The sequence below is a fragment of the Homo sapiens genome, chromosome 3 (assembly GCF_000001405.40).
Source record: "Homo sapiens chromosome 3, GRCh38.p14 Primary Assembly".
NCBI lineage: Eukaryota > Metazoa > Chordata > Mammalia > Primates > Hominidae > Homo > Homo sapiens.
Genome location: NC_000003.12, coordinates 182,222,943 through 182,245,893, shown reverse-complemented (window position 1 = coordinate 182,245,893; position 22,951 = coordinate 182,222,943). Strand labels below are relative to the sequence as shown.

Genomic DNA, 22,951 nt, shown 5'->3' with positions numbered 1-22,951 from the left:
TGGGATCATCTGCCACATCAGTAAAAAGAAAGATAACTATTTGGAATAGGTTCCCCTTTAAATCTTGTATCTAATTTCCGACCTATTTTTTTCTTCCACTTATATATCCTCTTCTCCTCTCTCCCTATCCTCCCCAGCCCCCATCCCATCCTGACACACAGACACACATGCACACACAGGGGTACCTGGCTTGTTTCCCCACTGTTATACCTTTGTTCGTGCTGATCCACCTACCTAGGGCTAACTTAGACCCAATTCATCCTGCAAAGCCAACTTAAGCCCTTTTCCTTCCATGTTCTTACAATATTCCCGAAAACCATTCCTAGCACTCCCTCACTGCACCATTTAAACATTGCATGTTAATACGTCTTTCTTTACTGGTTCTAAGCTCCTTAGAGCAAAGGCTGCACCTTATTTAGCTCTGCCTCAGTATCTGATTCATAGCAGTCACTCACTGTGAGACACTCACCAAACCCAACACTTCTGTGCAGCTTTCCCTGATCATGGCAGCCCATGCCGTTACTTCTCTCCAATCCCATTGTGCACACTCAGTCTTGTGCAACTCGATGTCTAGACTCCTCTTGAGTTGGGTCATGCTCTTTCTGTGCTGTTCTTGCAGTGAGATCCTCAAGGATGCAGAACCTGTTGCATATCCCTTCTGTCAACCCCACAGTTCCTGGAAGTGCTGGACGAGAGAGGTACAAAAATTAGTTGTGGGTTATTTGTTTTCTGAGAAAGGAAGAGGTAGTAACAAACGGATCATGAACCACAACAAAAAAGAGGGAATTCAAGAATCGTGTGGGCCTGGATTTTCTCAGGAGTGGTATTGCCCTGGTTAAACATGATGGGTTTTATTTTTTATTTTTTGTAATTAACTCCCATTTCCTGAGGGCCAACTATAAGCCAGACATTTTACTGAACATGTTTACATGCATTAAACCATTTAATTTTCGCAAAAATACTGCAGGAGAGACATCTTTGTCCCCATTTTACACATGAGGAAATTGAAGCTTGATAGGGTTTGGTGACTTGCCAAGGTCACCCAGCTAGTTAGAGAAGGTCCAAGAGTCCAACCTAGTTCTGTGAGGCTTTAGACCTGTGTACTCTTTCCACATACTACTGAGTTTAGCCTGGCAAAGCACTCTTTGAGCCTTCTTTCCTCTTGTTTCTTAGTCATAGCAATAATCCCAACACATGGGTCTCTCCTCTGGCTCAGAGAACCTGGAGGAGGCCATGTTGATTTGGGCGCTACAGGGTGACTGAATTTCTGTTGGTGAGCCTGGATGTCCAGTTCATCTTGGGGCTGTGGAAAGCTTTGGAGGCTCTTAAAGCAATCTGGTTTACCCAGAGTTCAAGAGGTTGGGAGCAACCTAGAGCCAGCAAGGAGGCCCACAAGGGTCAATGCTAATTGGGGCAGATGCCCCAGGGGTACATAGCCCAGACTGTTCCCAAGGAGTTCAGCTGGAACCAGATTGCCTCAGGAATGTGAGTGAGGCAAACAACTACTTGATTGTTCGAGCCCCTACACTTGGTACTGGGTGCTGCTTCCCAGCTAAATGTAGGCCAACAGGATTTCTGAAAACTGTTTGCAAAGCTGAACGCAACACTTCCTTCATTTGCATTTAAAAAATAAACTCAGCCTTGAAATGGGCATTAGGCAGGCCCTTCCTGAAAACTGAGAAAGAGTGTAATGGGATAGATTTCTGCTGTCCAAATTGAGGGACTTGCAGGTAACACTAGAACTTTTCTCTAGCATTACTGTTTAAACCCTCCATCCTGAATGTCCTACATTAAAGCACATGTTCAAAATCATTCCTAATCCATAATATCCATTATTTCTAAATTAAGTTTAGGACAGCTCCTTGATTTCCCTCTTGATATCACAGTGGAAAGGCTCATATCAAACAGAAATAGCTAACACTTTCTGTTATCTAGCCTATCTGCTCTTGCCCTCTCAGTCTCCAGCCACCTATACTACATATTTAGTCAAACAAAAGTTTTGTATAACATTTTCTAGCTTTTGAGAAAGTGATTACATTTCTATTGCAAGTCCTCTGTATCTCTTGCATCAGATCTGGTCTAATAATACTGAGGCTGGGTGTAGTGGCTCATGCCTGTAATCCCAACACTTTAGGAAGCCAAGGCAGGTGGACCACTTGAGCCCAGGACTTTGAGAACAGCCTGGGCAACATAGTGAGACTCTGTCTCTACAAAACGATTTTTTAAAAAATTAGCCAGGGGTAGTGGTGCATGCCAATAGTCCCAGCTATTCAGTAGGCTGAGGTAGAAGGATTTCTTGAGCCAGGGAGGTCAAGGCTGCAGTGAGCCTGATAATAATATGAGAATAATAAGATAAAAACTTGCCAGATTTAATCTCGTCATATGCCTACTTTTTAAAAATCAAACTCTTTGTAAAAGTACTGTGACATGTCATTCTGGGCTTCATGGATTTGCTCCCAGGGAAAAATACATCTGCATACATAGTGAGTTAATACATATGAATGAAGGTTTCTAGATGAGTTTTGAAGATGACCTCCATCTTTTTTTCTCCTTCTGGACTTTATCCACATAGCCATTTTTTTTTTTTAGGAATCAAGAATGACTGTTCTCACTGAGAGCAGATGTAGCTAAAATGAACAATACATGTTCAACATGTGGCTGATACACTTACATATTAAATGATAGAGAAAACTTTCAGAAATATGCTTTTTTTCTTCCAAACTTAAAACATTTTTCTTCCTTTTGAAAGCTTACATTTCTCACTCCATTGAAATGGACTGTTTTAAGAAATCAGTGGGTACAGTCACGTCTTCAATGTTCTTTCCTCTGATGACTAAACAAAATTATTATAGTTCACTGGTTTGAATGCAGTTTTGGGTTGTGTTTGCATGTTTGCCTGGTCATGTTATTTATAAAAACCATGCCTCTGTTGGAATAACTGCAGGGAAAAGAAAGACCTATCTGGAGAAGTTTGATTTGTTTTCTGTGTCTGTAATCAAATTACTTATAAATGATATGACATGGTTTATAATGCTTGAAATTTTGCTGTCAGAAACACATATATACACTTTGTGGTTGAATTCTCCCAGGTTTCCTTTTAAATCATGTAGGTCTCTGAGACATTTCCACCAAAATGTGGTAAAATGCAGAAGTTGGCAATTCAATTTTATTCAGCCTTTCAAGAAGGAAGGCCTAGATAAGCTTTGCTTGTTCATGTCAGTGATAATATTCATCAGTGAGGCCTAAATGTAATTCTGTAGGCTTGCTACTGCTTTGTTGTACTGTCATTTCTGAACCTCAATCTCTCTCTCTCTCTCTCCCTCTCTCTCCCTCTCTTTTTTAATCACAGCAAAAAGTTTCTTAAGAGCTTAACTCACAGCCAAGTGCCAGCTCCCCCATTTAATTTGTCCTGCTTCCCCACAGCACTTGTACTTTATGTTCAGGCAGAGGTGAGGTCAGTTCTCAGGGCCCAGCTCGCTGGACACCCTCAATGATGACCTCATTAGAGTCACAGATGTTTGCTGCACTTTGGGAGATGTGGAAAAAACAGAGCAGTAAACTAGGCCAGCTTGCAGTAAGGCTGTTACCCACAATTCAAGATAAAATGCTGGATAGTTCCCACTAGGTTCTGGTCGGCTAGGAAACGGCAACTTATTAATCTTGTGTCAGAGAGCCAGCTGCAGCCGTGGCAGTTACCATATTTCACCACCAACTCCATGTCTGGACAGCCATTGTCTTTTTTTTATGAAAAAACTCTACAAATCAGCTGCGTTCTCTCACTCCCTCTCCCTCTCCTTTCCCCCTTACACTTAGCAAAGCCCCCCGCTTGTCCTCCTTGGAGAAATTGCGCTCCAGCACTGAGAGAGTTCGGTGTATCGTCGATCCTGTGGTTGGTTTACTAATTCAGAGAGACTGCTTACTTTCCAACTTTAATGATATTCCCTCAGCATATCACTTTGGTTGCCTGGCGACCGGATTTGAGCTAGGCCTCTCATTTGATTCCCACACATCAGACCCTGAAAAGCACTTTTTTTCCCCCGTCCCTCAGCTTTTGATTCTTTCTGCTCTGAAACCCTTCCCCCTGCGGTGTCAGTATGGGTGGGCAGAGCCGTGGTAGAAGAAGGGCAAGGGTGAAGGGCGGCCCGTAGCGCACTGGTCACACATCAAGGCCTCAAAACAAAGCCTCCAGGAACCCTTCCTGACGAACACAAATTCCCCTCAGAAAAAGCAAATTTGGCTTTCCCTTCATAGTGTGGGTGTCATTTTAAGACTTTCCTTAGATACTTTATTAAATCTGATGCTTTTTATTGTTTTTCATGCCGTTTCTCACAAAAGACTTCCTATTATCAACAAGTTGCTATAGGAGTAAGCAAACAGATTATGAAGAGCTGAAATAGTCTAATAAACACTAGCCTTCCATCCACCTCCGTATATGTTTTAATATTATAATACGCGTGTTAGTATAAGAATTATCTATCTTAATTTGTACAAGAATGCACCACTTTTCCCACAGTGAGAAGATGTTTTATGCTAAAATCTGCATGTGAAAATCCAGTGTTGCTTGTAAAGGAAAATGGAAAATTTGCTTCTTTTGGTCTTTTTAAAGAAAAATAGAGATGCTTTATCTATTGTTGAAAAGCCTCCTCTGAGAAAAAATGTAATGAACATATTTTTGTGTGTTTCATGGTTGAGCCTACTAAAAAAACAGGGAAAAAAAAGAAAGTAAAAGAAAAATTCATATGAAGTGCATTTGAGTTTTTCCATAGTATTATCTCAATTGTTTAAATTAAATCGTATATGCTGTAATCATGTCCTCAAAACAGCACACACACACACACAAACTACTAGGAGCACTTAATGAGCTGTTTTACTGACTAGAATTAGTGCATAATCACATAGATACATGCAGATTTCAAATATATACGTATATTTTATAGAGGTATATAAATACACATCTATTTAGACGTACTTATACATTATTCTTGAAATATTAAAATTCCTATAAGCATGTCTATTATGACGATTCATCTATTATAAAAGATAGTTCAAATATTCTTGCTAGAGTTTATTTTCTCACAGATCTCTGAAGGATTTGATCATGTAACTCCCATTCATTCTCATGTGCAAATCCCCTGTGTATTGATGGGCAAATGGACTTCTAATTCCACACTAGAACTGAAAGTAGGATTCTTAACCTTTACTCTCTTGTTGTTGAACTTATCTAAGGCTAACAAAAGTTCTTTACCCTTTTCTCAGCAATGATCAAAGTGTGTACAAAGTTACTGCTTTTCCAAAACCGTTTTTGGATTTCTCCCCACACTCACTCCCACAACTCCCTCCATTTTCTGTACTTACAAGATCTATTACCTGCTACCTTAATCCTTGCTTAGTTATTAAGTGGCTGAGCTGAGAGAGTCAGTTTCATACTGCACATCCCTACATGCAAACAAAGAATGTTTTCAGATTAGCATTTAAATTTCATTTTTCTTTCCATTCTAAGTTTTAACTAATATATTATTTGCATTTTAGTGGTATAGATGGGCAAAACAGATATCTATTTATAAATTCTATTGATTCAGTTATTTTAATATTTGGTAGTTTTATACTTCATATATGCCAAGAACTTTCTTATTTTTAAAAATATTATTATACACATACACACATCTCTCAGAAGATATTGAATAAGTACTGTATAAAATATTTCTATGATGAGAGCTACTATTATTAACAAGATAAGCAGGCTCCATTCAATTTAACTTTTTTCTTCTGAGTGGAATGATTGGTAGATAAGACCAAAAAGATGCTTTCAAAAGTCCAGTAATAACCATACTAATACCAGCATCCCATATTTGGATTGTGTTTAAGGAGGCAAAGGGACAGGTAGAAAAGAAAATTCAATTGTTTGCAGGGGAAAAACCTATTGGGATACTCAATACAGAGTTAATGAAATGACTTAAACAACTGTGAAGGGTATCTCAAGTATACTAAGAAAAAAAATGTTTAAAACCATCAATAAAGAGTTTACCTGAGTTTCTGTGACTTTTCATTAGTAAATATTAAAAATTAATGCTAGAAAATCAGTGTTCCTCAATGTAATGCAAAGTACAATTGTTATTCTCTTAGCTCTTTCCTTTTCTTTCTCACTCTAATTTGATATAGGCTAGAAATGTAGAAAAAACAGGAACACCTTAAAAAGAATCTCCTTAAAATATTTCCAATCTTGCCAATATCAAGTTTCTAAAAATCCTGTGATGGAAACCTGATCATTTCTAGTTCCTTTTCAGGAACTAGATCACTGAACAGATATGTGCTTTTGGATGCTGGCCTAAACTGTTTTGTGCACATTCCTACCACTAATAGCAAATCACCTAGGCTGCAGGATGGTCTTGATTCTAGACCCCTGTTCATACAACAGGGACAGAAAGCATGGGTGAGGAATGGGTGATGTTTTACTGTTTCTTTCTGTAGAGGACAAAACAGAGTCACGTCTGAGTTTGGGGAAAAAGAAAAAAGCTTATAACTCTTGTCAATAAATGGATGATCCTCAGAAACTTATAATTATTTTGTGTTAGTTACGTTCACATGACAAGCCGTGCATTTATGTAAGATAAAGTAATAGGCAGAAATAAAATATTTTTGATCCACGATTGTTGACCCAAATGAATGCTTCACTTGTTAAGAACTAGTCACAATTTTTATCATTATTGTCATCAATATGTATGCATAACATAGTCCCTACATTGAAAACAGTAAGTATGTCACATTCCCAACTGGTACCTGGCTCTTATTTATATGCTGTTCTTATAAACAATACCTATAAATGATGAGCTGAGTAATAATGAAAGGAACAGGAAAATAGAGAAATCTGCAGTCGTGTCCTCATTCTTGTCATGGCACATTGAGCCTCAGTTTCCTCACCTGTAAAGCCAGGGAATTGGGTCACAGAAAATCTCAACTGGTCCTTACTGTTTGCTTCTTACTACATGGTTCTGCGGCCTCTAGGAGGAAGGACCATAACGATAGTTTCTATTTCTATGTCATGGAGAGAAAAAGAAGGTTCCTGGTCACCTGTGTGTGGGGGTGTGTGTGGGTGTACCAGCCTTTCTAAAACGATGCTACTCAAATAGGTCTACATGGTGAATATCTGTACGGTCGCAGCCTTGAAACAAAGGCTCATGATGTGGGGGGAAGGAAATAGAAAAAGAAATCACTGCCCAATATACACTCCCCGAAGAAATCAGAAACCCTTCAATTTATTGCTCTTTGTGCATCTAACAGCTTTTAAAAGTCACAACAGACTTCTTTTTGAACGTTTCTAGCAGATCTCGCTGTTCCTGTTGTTGCATGCACCGAGTTTAAATTCTCAGCACAGATGAACACAGCCCAGCGGAAGTTCTAATCCTCAAAAAGTAGACAAATAACAGGGAAACTCCAACGGCCCCTTAATACAGCTGAACTCTCAGGCCTCCCCGGGATGCGGGATTCTGAGCAGTGCCGGAGTTGGGGTTGCTATTTTGTTTGTCCCCATGAGCCCCACCTCGGCGTGCCGATGCACTGATGTAAGAATTCCAAATGAGCTTGCTCAGAAGGGCCCAGATTAGCTGGGTTGCTAGGATCTGGCCATTCCAACCCCCTTTTCCACTTCAGTGGACTGAGCTTTTGACACTATGAAAAGCACCATTTAAAATTAATTAAAGCTTCTTATTTGGTACCAAATCTCATCACTGCTGACTACATTTAATATGTTTTATGTGTGGCTTTAAGTCCCTGTCGCATCATGTGTTGTATGATCCTGCAATGAAGCAGCTGCAAGTTAGAAAACACAGAAGCAACCTGAATTTAGCTCTTTGGTATTTTATCTGGTGTGTGTGTGTGTGTGTGTGTGTGTGTGTGTGTGTGTGTGTGTGTGTTAAACTGCAGAGCTAGTCTTCTAGTCTCCTGGGTCATGCAAATTTTGTTAAATGATAGAATGGCATTCTATCTGGAATTGAAGGCAAGAGACCTGAGTTCTAGGCCTGCTCAGTCACCAATTTGTTATTAGGGTGATGAGAAAGACATAGTTCCTTTTTAAAACTTCAATTTTCTCATATGTACAAGAAAGAGGCTGGACTGCAGTCTCAGAGGTTGCTTTCAGCTTGACTATTTTAGGATTCAGAGTACAGAAGGCAAAGTTGTGTTGTAGATTAGTCCAACAGGTTTTGGGGTAAAAGAGATCTGGGTTTAAATCTCAGCTTAACAACTGACTCTGTAGCACTGAGCAAGTGATGATCTCTCTAAGCCTTGTTTTCACCATCTGTAGAGTGGGGTCAATAATAGTACTCTCTCATAGAGACTGTTGTGAAGTATAATGAGATAATGCATGCCAGTGCTTAGAACAGTGCTTTGTGCATAGTAAGCCCTCAATAAATGGGAACTGGTATCATTATAACAACAGATTACTTATTACAATTGCATTTAGACTCAATATCATTATTGAACAGTCCTGTGGGTTCTCAACTCCTAAACATTTGCTATAAGCAATGTCTTCAAATTAAGGATATTTTATCACTTACATGGGCCACAAATTATTTTTCCAGTCTATTAGTGTCAAATGACTTATTAATAACCCTCTCCAAAAGCCAGAGACCCACTTGTCCATCTCATTATTGTTCTTTCAAAAGACTAATTGTGTCAGTTATGTTAAATGATAATAGTAATAATAATAAACACTCATTGAGGTAGAAGGAAGTCTTGTAGGCAGACAAAAAGGAAGTAAAATTACCAAAACCTTGAAAAAATTTTCTCGGTATCCTGCTTGACTAAACCCAGTCTGAGGTTTTATCTGCCTCTAGGAGCTGTGATTTTTTAATGGTGCCTTTTATTTATTTATATATATATTTATTTATTTATTTTTAGTGTGCTATGAAAATGTTTGTTCTAGTTTTGTTTTCCATGAACTTTTTTAAATTTTACTTTAAGTATACCTATGTATGGTGCCATTTTTAACAGCAGTCTGCAAAACTGCAACAGCAGTTTGCATGTTGCGTGTCTATTTGGACTAGAGAATTTTCCCCCAGTCCTGTTTGCATTTTGGTTTTAACAGGAGGGAAAAAATAAAGTCTGAGAAGGAATGATTATCCTGAATTGCATTTTAGGAGAATTTTGTCTATGTGGGAATCAAATTATTTGGTCTTATTGGTGAATCAAATAAGTATATGCTTGTATATAACCAATCTTCATATACAAGTAATCCAGGACTTGGATGTTTCTGGAAGACTTAACAAAACATGCTGTATTTGCTGGCCATGAAAAAACTTTGAACATTGAACAACAAATAGGGTGTTTCTTAAAACACTATTGTATCCTTGTATTTTTATATTTTTATCCTGCTCACACTCTGAAAAAAGAGTTTTAGAGAAGCATCAACATAAAAACTCCACGGTGGGAAAAAAATAGACTGTCACACACAGTGAGTGGTGAGTGGACTTCCATTTACCTGGTGCAGCAGCCGAAAACACAGGCTGGCCACTCTATCAGCACTTTAAGCAAGGTCAGGAATCATCCCATGTTTTAAACAAGTGACTTATTCAAACTGAAAAATTTTCCAGTTACAGTAGTTTGTTGAACTGTCTTGAACGAAAATGCTTTTCAGAGCTTTTCCACCCAACTGAGGCTTTTATTTTTAGGTATCGGTTGGCAAGTTAATCAGAGTTGTGTAAGGTCTCAATTCAAACAATTTTGGAAAGTTAATACATCTGAGTCTCAGTTTCTTTATCTGCATAATGGGAAGGAAAATAATGGTATCTAGCTCATGAGGTTGTTGTGGTGTGATAGTTTATGTAATATATTTGCAGTATCTGCAATATATGCAGTGCCTGTCACAGAGCAGGTCTTCAGTAAATGGTATTTCTCATCCCCATTTTTACAGCAGGGTATCAAAAAGGGTTTAGACATTATTGTGTATTACCACAACTTTGATCAGATCTAAGCCATGCCCACCAATATTACGCGTAGTTGGCCTTAATAGAAAAATCATAACAAAACCCTGAGAAGCATATGATTATCTCAGAAAGCACCAGAATGCTTTTCTCAGTGTAGGAATGCGACAAATACAAGGGGTTTCCTTGGAGGAGCAAATACAACTATTTCCTTGCATAGAACCAGCCTCAACATTTAATAGCCAGCATACAGCTACTTTCAAAAGAAAGCCCTACTGTTCTGGACCTTTTGTTTCCTGGGTATGACTGAGAATCTCTGTGTATGACTGAGATCAACAGCCAGATATCTAGGAGCTACAGATCAATTACTATTTCCCTCTAACGTGGCTGTGTGCAACTTAGCAAAATGCTGGTATGTTTGTGTGGTCCTCTACCTAAGTAAAGCTTAATGAATAAGAGAACCAAATAGAAGTGAGGAGGGGAAAGTTACACAGTTACCAGGTATACTTAAAAGAGAAAATGAATATGAAAATATTTATTCCCTCTGGCAGGCAACAACAGAATATTCATTAAATTTAAATTTCATTTGTGTTGTTTCTTTGTGCCTTTTCCCTCAACTTTAGTCATAAAATATTTTATGAAATTCAACTTGACTGTTAAATGTTTTCCGTAACAAAGATGTGTTGTGTTTTTTAGTGTATTGCTCTAACAATATAATTTATTTGGTAACAGTGGGGGACAATTATGAACATGAGATTTGGAAAAAATTAAAGTGTGTCTCCCAACAGAACATTTTGTTGCTGAATGTTCTATTAACTAATTATTACAAATGAGTGTCCTTCTAGACATATTTGTACAAAAGTCTTAACGTATTACTCATCTAGTATTGTGTAATGCAAAAAAAAAGTACTACTAATTGCTTTTTTCTTTCATTTGGTCATTTAAAACATGTTTTAAACCAGAAAAGAATAATCAAGTTACTTCAGCTCTGGTATCAAGCAAACTGTGAGTAAACGTTTCTGTTTTTGCCCTAAGAATTCATCACATGAAGATGATTAGTGACTATAGATCAATCTTTGCACCAGTAACTATAGAAGGAAGTTTATTTTATTTCTCCTAAGTCTGATAAGGACAAAGTAAACCCAATAATACCTGCTATAGGCTGGTAAGTTATCTCTCAAATAATCTCAACCCAGAGTCAAGATGTCACTAACAAAAAGATCCAAACCATGTAACCTGCACTGAATAGAATACAAATGAACAGAGATTTTATAAGTAAACATGTGGCATTTACACATCACTTTCCAAATTAATGTTGTTCCTGGAGACCACCTGAATGAAAGTAGTAGATCTCTTCTATCACTATTACACACTTTCAAACACTAACAATAACATTAAGAGTATCTGTTATAACTATAGCTAAATAATTGGCCATACTGAGTCTAAATTTAAATGCTAGATTAATTTGATACGTAACCGATTAATTTATAATTCCTCAGATGATGTTTCGGCATTTGCCACTCACAAGATCAATATCTTCCCTCTTTTGATCAGCCCAATTTTGAACATGGGTTTTCCTTAAATAAATCTTTAAAGAGAAAAACAATGTAAGAATACATTCTGCTTTCCTGTCAAAATACAATCGACAGGGAAATAATTCCTTGCTGTATTTTAAAATTTCTCCCTACCCTTCCTTCTGCCTCAAAGATTAAGAACATTTGCTTTTCTTGTTTTCCTGAACCACTCTTTGAACATCACCAGTCTCCCGGTAGGCTTCAGGAAGTTTGCTGATCCTATCAGCTCAGGAGCAGCTAAGTTCACAGGAAGGACAATTCTGAAAGCTGGTGAAGACATTGCCATCAGACTCATCTGCTTGTCATGGTGTGTAACTGAGATTAAATAAATGAATACTGAGAACTAATAGGTCAATTAATATTTAACCCTCGAGTTGCCAAAATAATTTCCACCTTGTGCCAACTGCCAATTGCCTGTCTTTAAATACTGGCTCAAATATTAGAGTAATTATGGATGAAGGTGATGTTTCCTGGTCTCTGAGATAAACTCCATAATTTTTAATTCATCATCCATAATCAAGATTCTTAGAACATTCTCAGCTCAAAGGAGAATGGGGTTGCAATAGTTGAGTTGAAAATAAAGCATCTCAGTGATTTCACATTAAGAAGTTGTTATAAGACTTTAGATCTAAAAAGAGACTTGTTTCCTGTGAAATCTTCATTAGCTATTATGAAAAAGATGTTCCCAGGTTTTAGCACTTGGAAAGAGAGGAAGGGAAAGAGTATCATTGCAATGACAATGTCAGATCTAAAGCTATGGGACATTTCACCTGTACCAGATGAGAAGGAGGGAAGGAAATTGCCTTATTTGGCCAGAGGAATGAATCAGAGTTTCTGCTGGTTAATTAGGCAGTTAGTGTAAATAGCTAGTATGGAACAAATAGCTCCAGCAGAAAAGTCCTTAGAACCTTGGATAGGTAGGATGTGCTTTCATTGACTTCATAAAGGCACTAGAAGAGAGCTAAAGGAAAAATTGAGTTGTCGTAATTGTGTGTACTTAGCCTCTATAGATATACACAAACAGTACAAATAATTAACTTGTTTTCTGATAATAAACAAGCTAGCATCTTTTAATTTCATGAAGAAATAGGCTGTAATCATGGACAAAGAGAAGCACATCCAAAAAGAAAACCAGATAATCTTTCTTCTGAGGTGGACCATGCATTAGTGAACTTAAAGCCCCCTCTGCCCCATTCATATTCGTGACCTAACATAATAGAAACCTAATATATTTGCTATTTTACAAGTGCTCACATGCCAAAAGACCATTCTTTATGTCATATGTAATATTTCCTTACTTTACTACCAATCAGAAAGTCGCTAGATTATAATGCACGTAGAAGCAGTTATGCCTCTTGTTTGGTATGGATGGAACTTGACATCAAAGTTAAAATACAAAAAGGAGATGATTTTTTTTAAGCCAGGCAAATGTTAAATGAATTTATGGGAAAACATTTTTTAAATGTCAAATGTGTTGCCAATTAAGGGAATATTGCAATTTAATTGTTTTAAGTGTTTATTTTCACTAGGAAATAAAATGATGGCTTCAAGAAGAAATGCTTTATGTTCATTTGTAGGTTATGTCTTATTTAGAAGTAGGAAAAGATAAGAACGAAATACTTAAATAAAAATAATGAAAAAATAAAGTTATATTTCACTGGTGTCATTTGAATTCTGTATTCCTTGCAGGAATTTTAAATTGTATGGCAGACTTGATTTTCTTTAAGTGACTTCTACTTGACATCTAAATCACAACAAATGGCTTGGGTGTTGATTTCTTAAATGTACTTGATTTTCTGAGAAATAAATCATCAAACCAAATATTAACCAACCTATCAACTTACATGAAGTGTAGACAGTCAATTATATTTTTCAAAATCACCGTTTCAACACCCCTCCCCCAACAAGTCAGTTCTCAGTATAGGGGGAGATAAAAGAAGAGACTGTACTTAACTCAATTAATACTATTAAATTCTACAGATGGTCATACCTCATTTTATCGATAAAATGTTATCAAACAGCATCCCATGCTATAGAGAAATTTTTCGTGAAAGGAAGAGACAGTTAATCTAGCAAACTTCATTGTTGTCTTGTTTTAAGAAATCGCAACAGCCACCCCAGCCTTCGGTAGCCACCACCCTGATTAGTCAGCAGCCATCAGCTGATATCAAGGTAAGATCTCCACCAGCAAAAAGATTCACTATCACTGAAGGCCCAAATGATCATTAACATTTTTTAGCAATAAAGTATTTTTTAATTTAGGTATGTACATTGGCTTTTTTTAAAGACATAATTCCATTGCACACTTAACAGACTACAGTATTGTGTAAACATAACTTATATTTACTGGGAAACCACAAAATTTGTGTGACTTGCTTTATTGTGATATTCACTTTATTGCACTTAGCAGACATGCTTTTTACAAATTAAAAGTTTGTGGCAACCCTGTGTCAAGCAAGTTTATCGGCACCATTTTTCCAGCAGCACTTGCTGACTTCATGTCTGTGTCACATTTGAACAATTCTCACAAATTCCAAACTTTTTCATTATTATTATATCTATGATGGTGATCTGTGATCAGTGCTCTCGATATTACTATTGTAAGGTCAAATGTTACTATCAGGGTGCTATGAATTGCACACATATATAGATGACCAACTTAATCAATGAATGTTGTGCATGCTCTGACTGCTCCACCGCCTGGCCATTCCCCCATCTCTCTCCCTCTCCCTAGGCCTCCCTATTCCCTGAGACACAACAATATTGAAATGAGGCCCATTAATGACTCTATAGTGGTCTCGAAGTGTTCAAGCAAAAGGAAGAGTCTCGTATCTCTCACTTTAAATCACAAGCGGGAAATGATTAAGCTTAGTGAGGAAGGCAGTTTGAAAGCTGAGATAGGCCAAAAGCTAGGCCTTGCATCAGTTAACTAAGCTGTGAATGCAAAGGAAAAGTCCTTGAAGGAAGTTAAAAGTACTACTCCAGTGCACACACAAATGATAAGAAAGCAAAACAGCTTTATTGCTGATATGAAGAAAGTCTTAGTGATCTGAATGGAAGATCAAACTAGCCACAACATTCCCCTAAGCCAAAGCCTAATCCAGTGCAAGGCCCTTACTCTCTTCAATTCTGTGAAAGCGGGAGAGGTGAAGAAGATGTAGAGGTTTGTTCATGAGGTTTAAGGAAGAAAGCTATGTCTATACCATAAAAATGCAGGGTGAAGCAGCAAGTGCTGATGGAGAGGCTGCCGCAAGTTATCCAGAAGATCCAGCTAAGATAATTGATGAAGGTGGCTACACTAAACAACAGGTTTTCAGTGTAGATGAAACAGCCTTATATTGGAAGAAGATGTCATCTGGGACTTTCACAACTAGAGAGGAGAAGTCAATGCCTGGCTTAAAAGCTTTAAAGTAATAGGCTGGCTCTTATTAGGAGCCAAGGCAGCTGGTGACTTTAAGTTAAAGCCAGTGCTCATTTACCATTCTGAAAATCCCAGGGCCCTTAAAAACAATGCTAAATCTACTCTGCCTGGGTTCTGTAAATGGAGCAACAGAGCCTGGATGACAGCACATCTGTTTATGGTTTACTGAGTGTTCTAAGCCCACTATTGAGGCCGATTATTCAGAAAAAAAAAATTCTTCTCAAAATATTACTGCTTATTGACAAGACACTTAGTCGCCCAAGAACTCTGATGGAGATGTACAAGGAGATTAGTGTTGTTTTTATGCCTGCTAACACAACATTCACTCTGCAGCCACACAGATCAAGGAGTAATTTTGACTTTCAAGTCTTATTCTTTAAGAAATACATTTTGGGCCGGGCGCGGTGGCTCACGCCTGTAATCCCAGCACTTTGGGAGGCCGAGGCGGGTGGATCATGAGGTCAGGAGATCGAGACCATCCTGGCTAACAAGGTGAAACCCCGTCTCTACTAAAAATACAAAAAATTAGCCGGGCGTGGTGGCGGGCACCTGTAGTCCCAGCTACTGGGGAGGCTGAGGCAGGAGAATGGTGTGAACCCGGGAAGCGGAGCTTGCAGTGAGCCGAGGTTGCGCCACTGCAGTCCGCAGTCCGGCCTGGGCGACAGAGCGAGACTCCATCTCAAAAAAAAAAAAAAAAAAAAAAAAAAAGAATTTTGAAAGGATATAGCTGCCATAGCTAGTGATTCCTCTGATGGATCTGGGTAAAGCAAATTGAAAACCTTCTAGACAGGATTCACCGTTCTAGATGCCATTAAGAACATTTGTGAGTCATGGAAGGAGGTCAAAATATCAATGCTAACAGAAGTTTGGAAGAAGTTGATTCCCATCTTCGTGGGTGACTTCAAGATGCTCAGCACTTCAGTTGAGGAATTAGCCACAGATGTGGTAGAAATAGCGAGAAAACTAGAATTAGAAATAGAGCCTAAAGATGTGATTTTGTTGCTGTGAGCATACGATAAAACTAATGAATAAGGAGTTGTTTCTTACAGATGAGCAAAAAAAATGGTTTCTTGAGATGGAATCTACTCATGGTTAAAATGCTACGAACATTGTTAAAATGACAATGAATGATTTAGAATATTACATAAACTAGTTGATGAGACAGCAGCAGGGTTTAAAAGGATTCCAATTTTGAAAGAGTTTCTGTTATGGATAAAATGTTATCAAACAGCATCTCATGCTATAGAGAAATTTTTCGTGAAAGGAAGAGACAGTTAATCTAGCAAACTTCATTGTTGTCTTATTTTAAGAAATTGCCGCAGCCACCCCAGCCTTCAGTAGCCACCACCCTGATTAGTCAGCAGCCATCAGCTGATATCAAGGTAAGATCTCCACCAGTGAAAAGATTCACTATCACTGAAGGCCCAAATGATCATTAACATTTTTTAGCAATAAAGTATTTTTTAATTTAGGTCTGTACATTGACTTTTTTTAAAGACATAATTCTATTGCACACTTAACAGACTACAGTATTGTGTAAACATAACTTACATTTACTGGGAAACCACAAAATTTGTGTGACTTGATTTATTGTGATATTCACTTTATTGTGATGGTCTGGAACCAAATCCGCAATATCTCTAAGGTTTGCCTGTATTTTATCAAAATGTTTAATTTAGAGGTAATAATTTAGTTTAAAAACAGTTGTTGAGACTAACTAGATGTGTTAAAGAAGTTGATACGAAAAATGTTGAGTGTCAGTGAAACTTAGCTGAAAGCCAATAGGATTGGCCATCTAATGGCGATTAAGTATGCTATAAATTTAAATCTTTGAAATACTTGTTAAGATTTATTCAGGCAGACAAACAAAGATAACAAAAGTCTTTTGTGTGTTTGTCAGTCATTTCCACTCCTCTGTTGTTGTAGTGTCAAATAATGTCAGTTATTTAAGGGCAATTACTGTAATTTTAAATTCTCAACAAATTAAACTATAAAGACTACAAGTCCAAGAAGGACCTTACTCATTTTTCAAGCACATTTTTCATCTTCCATTTTTTAAAGGTGTTTTAATTGCTTGAATGTGGAGAAAGGAAAAGGAGATTTTTGTGTGTGTGTTGCTGCTTTTTAATTTTTTTAAAATAAAAGAACCATGTTTGGATATTTCTTTTTCATTGAACTATGTTTTATGAAATTTTTCCAATGATACCCTGGTTTTTCAAATGGGTAAGTTAGATTATTTTTAATTAGATCTTATCTTTTTTTTATATTGGAGTAGCTATGTTTTTAGCCCTCTTTTGTATTCTATATATATAATCTAATGAATTTAGGTTAGAGGCAAGAAAAAAAAGTCCATGGAAGCAAAATAAAGTCCAAAATGAGTGAAAAAAAATGTGGTTAAATTGTGTTGGATAATAAAATGTCCTACCAATAAAAATATTAAAAATAAAATATAAGCATAATTAATTTGAATGAGATCATTAAGGTGGTTTCATAAAATAATTTCAAGTGAAGCAAGAAAATAATTACCTCCCCTAATCTTTAAGCTATGTTGACAAAGTTTAAATGTTATATAATTTAAGAGGAAGAATTCAATACATTTTATATTTCATGAGATCTTTTTTTAAGATTTAGAGCAGCATCTAGGGTTTCTTTGCAGTAATAAAGACAATGATCCATTATGTTCTTCTATTACTAATTATTCTGTAAAGATTGTCTGTTCCAAAAGATAATTAGAAGGGGTGAAATTTAATTCCATTAAACAGAACTCAACTGGGACATAATGAAATTTTGCTGGGAAGTTGAAGACTTTGAAGCCAAATAAAAAGCTTTTACATAGAGAAATTAGACTGTAAATCTCACACCTTATTCATGCGGGGCATATTTAAGACATACCAGAATAAGATGATATTTATCATGACTTTTAAGTGTTCAGTTAGCCCAAATATTCATAAAGAATATTTCTTCACTTATTTAAATGAGAAGTTTAGTGATAGACAAAGGTACTTTTAGATTCCAAGTTTATTCATTCATTTATTCAACAATAATGTTTTGTGTAGCTGCTATGCATCTGACCCTAGACAAGATATTAAGGGTATCAAGATTAATAGGGAAGCAGTGACTGCCATGAAACAGCCCGAAGTCTAGTCCTTTTATGATAATCAATTGAGTTCATTTCATTTAGCAATAAAATTTGAAGTGTCCACCATGAAAACCTGGACTTAACAGATTTCCATTAAGTTCTTGCTTTCTGTGGTGGATAAATTTATGCAAATGAAGAGGACTGAGTTCTTGCTGTCAAAGAACTTATCAACCAGCAGAGGCAAACATGTACATTTACAACTGCAACAAACTCTAGCAAAATTAAAAAGAGATTTACATTCCCTTAAATTCTTGTCTATTGCACTTTACTTAAGTCACCATTGCACAATGCTTATTACACTGTCCTAAGATTTTTAATATGTCTTCCCCTTTAGATTGGAAGCAACATGAGGGCAATCTATTATATAGGTTATGTTTACCTTTGTGCTCTTCATACCAAGAACTTAGCACATAGTAGATGTTCAATGGATGAATAATAGAAAACAATGATGGATAACTAGCCTTCATGGCAAAGACAATGACCACTCTAACCTATGAATAGGTGAAAACAGAGTTCCAAGAGATTTCACTTTTCAAAAACCACATAGTTGTTAAAAAGCAGAAACAGAATTTGAAATCAGGTCTAGATGGTTCCAAAGACCTGTTCTTCCCACGTACTGAAGAGTCATACCACTCGAGGGAGCTATAAGCAATAGAGAAGGTGAGCCCAGTTGTTTTGTTTTGTGTTGTCTTTTGGAGTAACAGAACGTTTTCCTCTAGTTCTATGTGCAGCAGAGTAGAACAAGAGCCCTCAATAGGAGGGGTAGTAGGAAGATGGAGGACGTGAACCTTTATACAAAAAATAGAGACTCACAATATAAAAGAAAAATGAAATCCCTGTTACCTAGCACTGCTCACTAAACCTAAAGGAGAAGATAGGGAAAATTCCTAGTACAAAGGAGAATAAGAGTTTACAGCTTCTAACAAGGTCAAAGTAACTAACACTAGAGAAGCCAGTTTCTGAACGCCTCCCTTTAGGTTCAAGAGAACTTTAGAATATCTTGTATTTAATCAAGAATAGTTATGTGAATTAGTAAGGTCTCCCCTCAAAAATCTGTTTTTAATGGTCAGTTTGGAATGATAGTTTATTTCCTTGGTCCTTGAATTAATTGAAGTCTGTAGCCCTTAAATATAAGAATGATATTTTGGCTCAGGGTAAATTGTACCTAAGGAGCCTAGGCCCTGAATATCTGGTAATTCTCAATAATGTCTCAGCAGAACTGAACTCTTTTGACCCCCAAAATAAAGAGGGCCCAGAGCTATATATCAGGGTCCCATGTACAAACTAATTCTATTGTATTATACCTATTGAGGCTGATAGAATTGTTCTCTTTCTCTTTTTCTCTATTTCATTCTTTCTCACGGTGCTCACAGATGAAAAAGTTTATAGCTTTGTGTAATAGACAGATAATGTCTCCCAAAGATGTCTTCATCCTAATTCCTGAAACTGTGACTATGATACATCATACAAGAAAAGGAAATTAAGGTTGCAGATGTAACTAAGTTTGCTAATCAGCTGACCTTGAGATGGAGAGAGTATCCTGGATTATCCTTGTGAACCCAATGTAATCACAAAGGTCTTCCTTATATGTGAAAGAGGGAGGCAGAAGAGGGAGAACCAGATAGATTGCAGTATGAGATGGTCTTGGCCAGACACTGCTGACGTTGAAGATGGAGGATGAAGCCCATGAATCCAGGAATGTGGTGACCTCTAGAAGCTGGAAAAGTCAAGGTCATGGATTTTACCCTAAATCCTCCAGAAGGAACATGGCTCTGCCAACACCTTGATTTTAGCCCAGTGAGACACATTTCAGACTTTTGATTTCCAGAAATGTAAGATAATAAAGTTGTGTTGTTTAAAGCCACCAAATTTCTAGTACTTTGCCACAGCAGCAATAGAAAACTAATATACCATGGGAGCCTTTGTACCATCACAGGAAAAGTGACAGCACAGAAAGCAGAGTAGATAAAGAGGTTAGGCCTTTGGGGACATTGTTTAGCCACTGAAGTAAAATGTATTTTTGAGAGAGAAGGGACATATGTTCTTTACAGAAGGATTCCATATAATAAATGTAGAATGAAAATTAAATAACCTGCTTCTGAATGAATTTTGGGTAAATAATGAAATTAAGGCAGAAATCAAGAAGTTCTTTGAAACTAATGAAAACAAAAATACAATGTACCAAATTCACTGGGACACAGCTAAGGCTGTGCTAAGAGGGAAATCCATAGCACTAAATGTCCATGTCAAAAAGTTAGAAAGATCTCAATTTCACGACCTAATATCAAACTAAAAGAACTAGAGAAGAAGAACAAACAAATCCCAAAGCTAGCAAAAGACAAGAAATAACCCAAGTCAGAGCTGAACTGAAGAAGATAGAGACACAAAGAACCATTCAAAAGATCAACAAATCCAGGAGCTGGTTTTTTGAAAAAAATAATAGATAGACCACTAGCTAGACTAATAAAGAAGAAAAAAGATAAGATACAAATAAACATAACCAGAAATGACAAGGGGGATATTACCACTGACCCCACAGAAATACAAACAACCATCAGAGAATATTATGAACACCTCTATGCACATAAACTAGAAAATCTAGAAGAAATGGATAAATTCCTGGACACATACATCCTTCCAACACTGAACCAGGAAGAAACTGAATCCTTAAACAGACCAAAAACGAGTTCTGAAATTGAGGCAGTAACAAATGGCATACCAACCAAAAAAAGCCCAGAACCAGGTGGATTCACAGCTGAATTCCACAAGATGTACAAAGAAGAGCTGGTACCATTCCTACAGAAACTATTCCAAAACACTGAGGAGGAGGGACTCCTCCCTAACTCATTCTATAAGGCCAGCATTATCCTCATACCAAAACCTGGCAGTGATACAACATAAAAAGAAAACTTTGAGTCAATATCCTTGATGAACATTGGCGCAAAAATCCTCAACAAAATGCTGGCAAGCTGAATCCAGCAGCACATCAAAAAGCCTATCCACCATGGTCAAGTAGGCTTCATTCCTGGGATGGAAGGTTGGTTCAACATACATAAATCAATAAATGTGGTTCATCACTTAAACAAAACTAAAGACAAAAACCACATGATTATCTCAATACATGCAGAAAAAGGTTTTGATAAAATTCCATTCATGTTAAAAACTCTCAATAAACTAGGTATTAAAGGAACATACCTCAAAATAATAAGAGCCATCATCTATGACAAACCCACAGCCAACATCATACTGAATGGGCAAAAGCTGGAAGCATTCCCCTTGAAAACCAGCACAATTCAAGGATTCCTTCTCTCACCACTCCTATTTAACATAGTATCGGAAGTTCTGGCCAGGGCAATCAGGAAAGAGAAAGGAATAAAAGGCATCCAAATAGGAAGAGAGAAGTCCAACTATCCCTGTTTGCAGATGACATGATCGTATACCTAGAAAACCCCATAGTCTCAGCCCAAAAGCTTTTTAAACTGATAAACAACTTCAGCAATGTCTCAAGATACAAAATCAATGTGCAAAAATCACTAGCATTCCTATATACCAACAACAGTCAAGCTGAGAGCCAAATCAGGAATGAACTCCCATTTGCAATTGCCATAAGAAGATTAAAATACCTAGGAATATAGCTAACTAGGGAGGTAAAAGATCTCTACAAGAAGAACTACAAACTGCTGCTCAGAGAAATCAGAGATGGCATACACAAATGGAAAACCATTCCATGTTCATGAATAGGAAGAATCAATATAATTATAATGGCCATCTGCCCAAAGCAGTTTATAGATTCAATGCTATTCCTATTAAACTAACATTGACATTCTTCACAAAACTAGAGAAAACGATTTTAAAATTCATATGGAACCAAAAAAGAGCCCAAATAGTCAAGGCAATCTTAGGCAAAAAGAACAAAGCTGGAGGCATCATGTTACCCAACTTCAAACTATGCTACAGGGTTACAATAACCAAAACAGCATGGTTCTCATACAAAAACAGACACATAGACCAAGGAACAGAATAGAGAACCCAGAAATAAGGCTGCACGCCTACAACTATCTGATCTTCAACAAACCTGACAAAAACAAGCAATGGGGAAAGGATTCCCTATTCAATAGATGGTGCTAGGATAGTTGAGTAGCCATACGCAGAAGATTGAAACTGGACCCCTTCCTTCTACTATGTACAAAAATTAACTCAACATGGATTAAAGACTTAAATGTAAAACTCCAAGCTACAAAACCCTGGAAGACAACCTAGGCAATACCATTCAGGACATAGGCACAGGCAAAGAGTTCATGATGAAGATGCCAAAAGCAAAAATTGACAAATGGGATCTAATTAAACTAAAGAGCTTCTGCACAGCAAAAGAAACTATCAACAGAATAAACAGACAACTTATGGAATAGGAGAAAATTTTTGCAAACTATGCATCTGACAAAGGTCTAATATCCAGAGTCTATAAGGAATTTGAACAAATTTACAAGAAAATAAACCCCATAAAAAAGTGGGCAAAGGACATAAATAGACACTTCAAAAGAAGACGTATATGTGGCCAACAATTGTATGAAAAAAAGCTCAACATCACTGATCATTAGAGAAATGCAAATCAAAACTGCAATGGGATATTACTTCACACCAGTCAGAATGGCTATTATTAAAAAGTCAAAAAATAACATGCTGATGAGGTTGTGGAGAAAAAGGAATGCTTATACACTGTTGATGAGAGTGTAAATTAGTGTAGACATTGTGGAAGGCAGTGTGATGATTGCTTAAATACCTAAAAACAGAAATACCATTCAGCCCAGCAATCCCATTACTGGATATATACCCAAAGGATTATAAATTATTCTGTTATAAAGACACATGCACACATATGTTCATTGCAGCACTATTCACA

At 37.0% G+C, this 22,951-nt stretch overlaps 3 annotated features.

Annotated features, from left to right (window-relative positions):
* Positions 999-1,293: a silencer, noted in NCBI's record as "tiled region #2239; K562 Repressive non-DNase unmatched - State 22:ReprW". NCBI's record gives its function as "represses a minimal TATA promoter and a strong SV40 promoter by Sharpr-MPRA in K562 cells {active_cell/tissue: K562}" and the evidence as "EXISTENCE:reporter gene assay evidence [ECO:0000049][PMID:27701403]".
* Positions 999-1,293: an enhancer, noted in NCBI's record as "tiled region #2239; HepG2 Activating DNase matched - State 5:Enh". NCBI's record gives its function as "activates a minimal TATA promoter and a strong SV40 promoter by Sharpr-MPRA in HepG2 cells {active_cell/tissue: HepG2}" and the evidence as "EXISTENCE:reporter gene assay evidence [ECO:0000049][PMID:27701403]".
* Positions 2,555-4,908: an enhancer, noted in NCBI's record as "VISTA enhancer hs1332". NCBI's record gives its function as "enhancer in: neural tube[6/6] | hindbrain (rhombencephalon)[4/6] | midbrain (mesencephalon)[4/6] | forebrain[4/6]" and the evidence as "EXISTENCE:transgenic organism evidence [ECO:0001131][PMID:17130149]".